The sequence below is a fragment of the Homo sapiens genome, chromosome 2, assembly GCF_000001405.40.
Source record: "Homo sapiens chromosome 2, GRCh38.p14 Primary Assembly".
NCBI lineage: Eukaryota > Metazoa > Chordata > Mammalia > Primates > Hominidae > Homo > Homo sapiens.
In genome coordinates this window covers 172,414,470-172,423,343 of record NC_000002.12, presented here as the reverse complement: position 1 = coordinate 172,423,343, position 8,874 = coordinate 172,414,470, and the positions used below count along the sequence as shown (strand labels likewise).

Below are 8,874 nucleotides of genomic sequence, written 5' to 3'. Positions count from 1 at the left end.
GAGTTGATGTTATCTAAAGCACTTAGAATGTTGCATCAAAACCAGAGCTCCCACCTGTGTACAGTCTTTCAAGATACGGCTTTTATGAGCTATGCATTGACCACAATATAGTTTCGTGAACTAAACTTAATAAACTGTTCTGACTAGGGATTCTACTATTCAATGGCAGATTTTTTGTTCCAGAGAAAGAAACAGAGTTTTCCCATACTGTTTTTTTATTTGTCTTTTTATATTAGTGTTCAGAGTTTTCTCTTCGACACTGAAACTTAATGCTTTTGTGTTTAAAAAAAAAAGTGACATTTTATTCGCTCTAAGTCACAGACCATTTAATAGGGGCAAACCTGCCTTTGGTTGGGATCAGGAGACTCCATACTGCCAGCTGTTCCTTATTTTAACACCTAGATCTATTTTGAAGTAAATTGCATTTGAATGTTTCTAATTCACTTACAATGAGCTCATTAAAATGTAGAGTGTTTCACGTTGCCATTTTAGGTGGGCAAACTTTTTTCAAGTTTGTTTTGAGGGAATTTTTCTAAGCCAGGAAGCCATATTTTGCCAGCCAGAAATAAACTCCAACCTTAAATGAATCAAGTTAAATCTAAAACTGAGTCATAAGGCTGGGGTGAAATCCCCACCTGACAAATTTGGTTTTCCATCCCCACCTTCATTAGAAACAAACATGAAGCTATGTACATCTCATGCCACACGCAATGCACTCTTGAAAGACCAAACATGGGGTAGACATTTTAAAATTAAGTTCTTTAAAGAAAAAAATTCATTGCTTTCTATAAAAATATCTCCTGTGTTGGTGGGGTGGGGGGAAAGGCTGATTTTGAGTTAGGACTTAAGCCAGTGATCTGTGGAGTGTATCAGGTGAGATTAAGGCAAACACTCATGGAAGGCAGCTTAGCCTCACCTTCTTCCCGGCTGAGGGCCTGGAGCAAGTTACCCAACTTCTTTAGGACTCAATTTGTTTTTTTTAGAGTGAATCTCGCTCTGTCGCCCAGGCTGGAGTGCAGTGGTGCAATCTCAGCTCACTGCAACCTCTGCCTCCCGGGTTCAAGCGATTCTCCTGCCTCAGCCTCCTAAGCAGCTGGGATTACAGGCACATGCCACCATGCCCAGCTAATTTTTGTATTTTTAGTAGAGACGGGGTTTCACCATGTTTGTCAGGCTGGTCTCGAAATCCCGACCTCGTGATCTGCCCGCCTTGGCCTCCCAAAGTGCTGGGATTACAGGCATGAGCCACCTCCCCTGGCCTAGGACTCAATTTTCTAATCTGTAAAATAGCCAGAATTCTTACCTCATCAGGTTGTTATAAGGATTAAGTGAGATTATATAAGTGAAGCATATAGTACAATATCTACTATTAAATGCACGCTGAAATAAAATAGTAGCTGTGAAAATGTAGGTGAAGAAAGTATACTAGAAAATAAAACAAGAGAGGACTTCAAATAATGGAGATTAAACATAGGGAGAGGCAATATGCAAATGAGGTCACTTGTGCCCCATATTTGCGTCATTTAAATGGTCAGCATAAACCATTCCTTATCGTTATAGCTTGGCAAATATAGTCGTCCCTCAGTATACACAAGGGATTGGTTCCAGGACCCCTGCACATAACCAAAATCCATGCATACTCAAATCCTGAAGTCAGCCCTGAAAATCCACATATAGACAAAGTCGGTACTCCACATTCACCAGGTTCACATCCCGCAAATACTGTATTTTCAATCTGAGAGTTTTTTTTTTAAAAAAATCCATGTGTAAGTGGACCCCTGTGGTTCAAACCCATGTTGTTAAAGAGCCATCTATAATCTCTGTCATATGATAGTTTCCTGATGCCAAGGTCTGCATAGAAACAAGTTTGTGCTTCACTCTGGGTCTGAACCATTTCTGTCTTTTGCCAGGATTTGGAGAAGTAAGAGTGGGTCCTAAACTCTGCGTCCGCCGGAACTTCAGAAGAGACAAACAGTTCAGATGACAAGCTAGCTAGGAGGCCTGGGGAGAATAAAGAGACAAAAGCACAGGGACATTACTGAACACGTCCTTATCACAACCTGCTCAGCCAAAGAGAAAGTTAGCACTATGAATTATCCAAAATCACAGCCAACTTATCATTATTTTGTTTGGAGCTTCATCTTCTTGAATACATCTTGCTGCTAATATTAAAGCAGCTTATACTACTTAAAATAAGCTGACAGGATAGTTATGAGGACATGTCACTTGATAGGGAAATCAAATCTTGAACTTTAAAATTTCTTCAACATTTTTGAATCTGGAAAGCAAGTCATTGGAAGGTGAAAAGTAGTCACTATATTTAACAGGTCCCTTCTTATGGCACATTAACAAAACATTTGAAGCAATGCAATAAATTCTGCCCTGTGAACACACTACTCTATAGAACAAATAACAAAGAAAGGAGGAAAAGAACGTAGAAATCTGAACCACCTAATAGCCAAGAATGTCCCTATTGCAATGGCTTTGTTGTCCCAGATCACATGCCCAAAAGTGAAGGGCCAAACGTTTCTGCATTATACAACATATTTCTGAACTTTCCCTGGTGAAAAAGGAGAAAAATGGGTTCACAGATACTTATATCACATTTCATGTTCAAAAATCTTTTCAAACCCTAAAGTCAGTGCATCTCCACAAAGCAAAAGCCAGTGTCCTAATTTTATGTCTGGAGACACTAAAGCAGGGACTTTTCCTAAAAAGAATGTCAGTCTCTCTGACCAAATTAAAATTTGGGATTTCCCGACTTCTGATTTCATAACCCAGACCACTCCATTGAACCCTTCTTCAGCCTTGGCAGAGAAATTCTCCATGGAGACCAAATCTCCTGCTTCCCAAACAAGGAACTGTAGCAGTTTGTAAAGTGTGATCTTCAGCCAATGTGTTTTCTGGTGGGGAAAAAAACGTGTTACACCAGTAACACGTTGTCAGTTAGGTTGGGAAGTTCAGGCATAAACACATGCTACTTGTTCATCCTGCTTACAGAAGGATGCAAAGCACAGAAAGCCTACTTAGGGGGATTTGTGCCCCCACTTAATCCAATAAGCCACAGTGAATTTTTTCAGCCTTAGGCCCTACTAGGAAATAGAGCCTCCAATCCATTGCCCCAGAAGTTTACTTTCCCCAAGTAGCCAACCCACCCCTGGTTGCTGTTGGTTACAGAAACAGTTGGGTAAATGCCACATTGGTTGAAAAGGAGGTAAGAGTATGGGAGACAGTCACCTCTTTGATTTTGGAGGGCTTTTAGAATTTCCTAATTTATACTCTGTAAATAACCAAAATACATCTATTTCTCTGAGACTTTATGTGCTGACTACAGTCAGCTAGCAATGTCTTTAGTGCTTATAAACAGTTCTCATCTGTATTTCTAAAATAATTCCAATGCAGGGAAAATAATTTGAGAGTTATGTGTATTTTGAAAATATACTCCAAAGTTGAAACCTTTTCAAATGTTAATCAAAAGGATTTATAGCTATAGATTATACTCCAGCCATCAGCCACTTATGTAACAGTGAAACAGCAAAAGAACTAACATAGCAAACTCCATTTTTGTTTAAGGAGCCTTTAGCCTGCACGTAAGCTAGGATAATTTTGGAGCACTGAGAAAATATGCAAAAACAACAATCATGTAGTTTTTGCAACGAACTCTGGGATTAAAGGGAAAGTATGTAAACAATTAACTATGTTTTGTTAAAGATTTATAGGAGTGTTGTGACCTGACCAAGGACAGAGTTGTTCCCAACCTCCTCAGACCCTCATTGGCGTCCAGATGTCTGCGGTCGTTGGTCACCTCTTGATCCCAAACCTCTCTTCTTCCCTCTGTCTTTAACATAAAAAGAGCCTGAAATTTGTACTGTCTTAATATGGTACTTTAGAATGCTAGTCCACCATCTTCTTTGTTTACTGGATCTCCGAATAAACCTGCTTTTCCTCCCACCAACTCTTGCCTCTCAAGTTTTGGCTTTTGGGAAGCAAGTAGCAGAATCTAGGTTTGGTTACACTTACGATAAATTCAAAGAGGAAGGTGGGCATTAAGTAGACACTCTTTCCATCTGCCCCAGCTCTCCCTTCCTAGTCAACAGTCTGCATATCCCTTTCTCTTATCTCACACTGAGGGACACTGTGATTTATTTGCCTACATAGATGCCTACTATTAAATCCTTAGTTCCTTCAGAGTAGGGACCATGCCTTGGTCATTTTTCTATCCCTGATGCCAAACACTGGCCCTAGAGTACAGAAGCTACCAAAAAATCATGTATGTTACCAAAGGGTTTTTACCAATCATCATTTTTATGCCAAAAGGCTTCTTTGAAGTTGAAAGGATTTTTTTGTTGTTGTTATTATTTTTAGAAAATGTGTCATCCTTGTGTTACATTCTTAAAATGGAGCATACCCAATAGTGTACTTTATCCAAAGGGTACATGCTGTCTACCCAGATGAGTAATTCTCATGGAAATGAAAAACTGCATCAAGTCAGCTGATTAGCAAGGCACCATTTTGGACTCAAGGTCTCTGGTGCTATAATGCTGTCTACAATCCAAAGATATCGAGGAAAAAGTTAAGATGAGCTGCATAATCTAGAATGGAAATTCCTAGAGCAGGACTTTGGGGCGGTTGGAGGGAAAATGGGGAGAGAAGTGTAGATTGGAAAGGGGGCCATGATGACTGCAAATTGAGAAGCCCCTTGAACAAAGCAGCAGGGTTCTGGGAGGGGTAGATTCCATAAATTGGAAAATGTATTTGTTTCACTCTTTGGTCTACTGTGCCAAGATACTCATAAAGCTACCATCTTCAATGTGTCCCATCCTTTAGTCACCATACAAAGACATGGTGACATGAACTAGAAAGGAAATGGTTGAGATGATAGACTCCTCTAACCATTTCTCCCTCCACTGCCCAACCCACCCAATGGTAAATAACTGGGTCAGTCTCTGCACCCTGCCCTCTCCCTATTCCAACTGTACATATCCAGATGGTAAGAGGCTCAATGCCAGCAAGGTCTTCTCAGGAAAATATTTGGGAGAAGGCATGCATTGAGTATCATAGCAGACATGGCTAAGGTTTATGAGCTTGAAGAATACTATGAATGTGCCTTTTCATTGCAATGAAAATGAAAAGACTGAAGGAAATGGCCTCTGTTCACACCTGCAAGGATGATATGGTGTCCTTCAAAGCCACAACTATAGTGTACATAGAATTCTGGAGACATCGGAGATATGTGAAGGAGTATGGTTATAGTATGAGATGGCAGACCATGATGCAAGGAATGGGAAGAAGCATTCAATGTGTGAGTCCCAGAATTTAATACTTATGGGCTGTGTTGTTTTACCTAAACATCAATTTTCTCTGTGATTTATTCAAGCTTGACAGTAAAATTTCCAGCCAAGAGTTATCCATTTGAAAGCTAGGTTATTACTCCCAGTCATATATTCCATTTAATGGATCTCTCAAGTGTTAATGAATATTATTAAGTACTGAGTTCATGATAGAATTAAAAGCCATGGGCCAGGCGCCGTGGCTCACATCTGTAATCCCAGCACTTTGGGAGGCCGAGGCAGGCGGATCACTTGAGGTCAGGAGTTTGAGACCAGCCTGGCCAACATGGTGAAACCCCATCTCTACTAAAAATACAAAAAATTAGCCAGGCGTGGTGGTAGGCACCTGTAATCCCAGCTACTTGGGAGGCTGAGGCATGACAATTGCTTGAACCCAGGAGGTAGAAGTTGCAGTCAGCCGAGATCGCACCACTGCACTCCAGCCTGGGTGACAGAGTGAGAGTCTGTCTCAAAAAAAAAAAAAAAAAAAAAAAAAAGAAGTAAAAGCCATGTTGGTGGGGAGAAGAGCACCGACAAAACCAAATTTAGAGCCTATGTTCTAAGAGAAACCAAGCCTGGCAGAGAATATGGCATCTTTTGAATAAGGAATATGCCTTTTTTTTTTTTAATTTGGGTTTCTTTTCTAAAGAGTATTTTTTTCTATTTTCTTTTTCATTTTTGGGTAAGATATGTGAAAAATGACTTGATATAGAATACTGAATTATTTTTCTAAGGTCAAAAGAAAGTGTTTGAGGCAGATTCAAGATGGCTACAGATTTTTTTGATACTCCTCTCATTAAGAAGTGGGGTCTACTTCCCTTTCCCTTGAATCTGAACTGGACTTAGTGACTTTCTTGACCAATAGAAATTAGCAGACATGATGACCTGGGAATTTCAGGACTGAAATATAAGAAATCTTATGTCTTATTCCTAGGACTCTTGGGAACTCATTATTGAACCTTAAGCCACTATGTAAGAAGCCTAGCTTCCATGGTGGAGTGAATATGAGGCCACATGGAAAGGGAGAGGTCCAACTGAGCCCATCCTTCTAGCTGTCCAGGCCAAGACTGTGGAAGTAAAGCTATCTTGGAATCTACAAACCTGCCTACCCACCAGCTGAATAACCGAGTATCCCCAGCTGACACTAAATGGAGCAGAAGAACCACCCAGCCAAGCCCTACCTGAATCACAGACTCACAGAATTAAGAAGTATTTATAAAATGGTTGTTGCTTCAAGCCACTAAGTTTTAGGGCAGTCTGTGATGAAGCAATGGATGGTGTAAAATTCCCACAAGGGACTCTTCTGATGGTGGGTGTCAGCTTCTATTCAGAAGCTGACCACTTCCTCTGCCATTGTCACAGTGGGAGCAAGTCTGCAGTGCTAGGCCAGGGTCTACAAAGTGATTGAGTCATGCTTTTTGAGAAGTGAGATCAGTTATACTGGCTAAAAAGGGACTAAAAAGAGTTTTGGGGGTGATGACTTTATGGCTCCATGACTAATTCCCAACCACTCAATAATAGGTCCAAGGCATGTGCCACTGGGATAGGTTTTACACACTTCCCCCAAGCCTCTGGTTTAGGGTGGGGATGGGAGATAGCTAGAAACAAAAGCAGCTCTGTCTGACATCGTGTGGTTGGTGATCACTTCCATGGATCCACACGGTGCTCCCTGGCCCACTTCATCTTTACTTTAAAGAGTCTTTTCCAATCCTTAGTTCTTATTGGCGTTAAACATACCTATGATCAGAAAGAATTTGAAAATGGCACTGTAGAGTTTCTGGTAGGCAGGAGGGCAAGTCCCAAAGTGTCAATTCAATGTGGAGCCTACGAACTCCAATACAAGGGAGGCTTTCTACAAACTTAAAAGATCTTCTACCCAAGTCTCTTAGCCTCCCTCTTCATTAAAGATTTTGTGTTTTCCCCCCTCTCCAGCTCTAGTTTCATTTTGTGAAAAGGTTCACTGCCTTATGTGCCATGAGCAGACAGGCTTATCGAATGAACTGTAAATCTAATCAGTTTGCCACAGGGGTTTCATGGGAGCCATGTAAACAATAGCTGGAGTTGTGTTAAGCTTCAGTGACTCCAACTGATTCCCAGTTTGGTTCATTTGTGAAGAACAGTTGGAGATACAAAGCCAAGCCCATTAATTTCTAAAGAGCAATTCTAAGAGAGGAATGAGCTGTCGATCCCCAGAAGGTTTTCACTCCAAGCTCTAACTACAGGATTTTATTTATGGCATAACGTTTGTCTTCCAGTTACTGTTTCCTTCCATTTCTCCAATATTCTGTATTTCTAAGGAGATCCTGGCAACTCTTATTGAAATTGGAATCCTGTGGAGGAATTGAGCAGAGAACTTCTCCAAGTTCCTATGGTCTCTAAAATAGTGATCAAAGTATGGTCTTGGATCCCCCACCTGTGTTCTCTTTAAAATGTAATTGTGCCCTATGTTACTTCTGACAAACGGACTTAATTAGTTTCAGTTCTAGTTCTCATTCAATACTTTTACAGAAACACATTTTTGATTTGAATTTCACTCTCAAGACTATAAAGTTTATATAGTTATACTGCTGAAGTCACACCAGTTTTTAATCTCCTAAATTCACACATACTTAGTTTCCAGATGGAAAAATGAATATTCACCACAGCTCTATTAGGAATGCCAATTTCCCATCAGTCCCTAGCATTGGGCAATGCAGTTATAATACTGTGTTAATTTCAGACATCTTCTGGTCCTCCGAGCCTTGTATTTACATACTAGCTGAAACTGCAAGTGGAAATGAATGGAGCTGATGATATTTGCCTTATCCTAATTTTTCTGTGAGGAGGAGAAAAACACTTGTGCTTCAAATAAGCAGATGTGAAAACACTTCTCACTAATCAAAATGTTTACCACTAGGTTATGAGAGTCTGCCTCTCATAGGCAGTGAATCTGATATGTATACTTAGTAATATAAGTCTATTTAGTTTGACAAAACCTTAGAGCAGAATTTTTGCAGCTTAGTTCAGGATGATCACTAGCAATGCCAAACTTCATTTTTTATTGAACTTGGATCCAAGAAGGCCTGCTGTGTCTATTTCAGTATAGACTCTCATACCAATATATTTATGCTCCAAGTCACTACACCCAGAAGTGATGCAGTGGGGGAAATGCAAAGAACAACATCACTGTAAGATTCACAGAATGATCTTTGTAAAATATTTTATATTGACTTAAGGAAACTTTCATTGGAATTAATTAAATTAAGTCTCTAATATTCTGGAAGACAGTAAAAATCAAGCAGTTGTTCTCAATTTGATCCCGGCAGTTGGAAATATTCATAATAGGAAATTCATGAAATAATACATATGAAGATGACAGAAAATTACCAATGTGATTCTGTAAAGAGCTTGGCATAGCAACTTGTCTAATTTCTTTCTATAATAAAATTATGGCCACATAGACTGATAGAAAGCGACTAGGAAATCCATCTGTATTTTCGCATGTTCTCGCTCATATGTGGAAGCTAAAAAAGAGTTGATCTCATAGAAGTAAAAAGCAGAACAG

General features: G+C 39.9%; 1 annotated feature.

The window, feature by feature from the left end:
* Nucleotides 7,183–7,684: an enhancer, noted in NCBI's record as "NANOG hESC enhancer chr2:173280388-173280889 (GRCh37/hg19 assembly coordinates)". NCBI's record gives its function as "activates a minimal SCP1, AML or CMV promoter by ChIP-STARR-seq in naive H9 embryonic stem cells {active_cell/tissue: H9 hESC(naive)}" and the evidence as "EXISTENCE:reporter gene assay evidence [ECO:0000049][PMID:30033119]".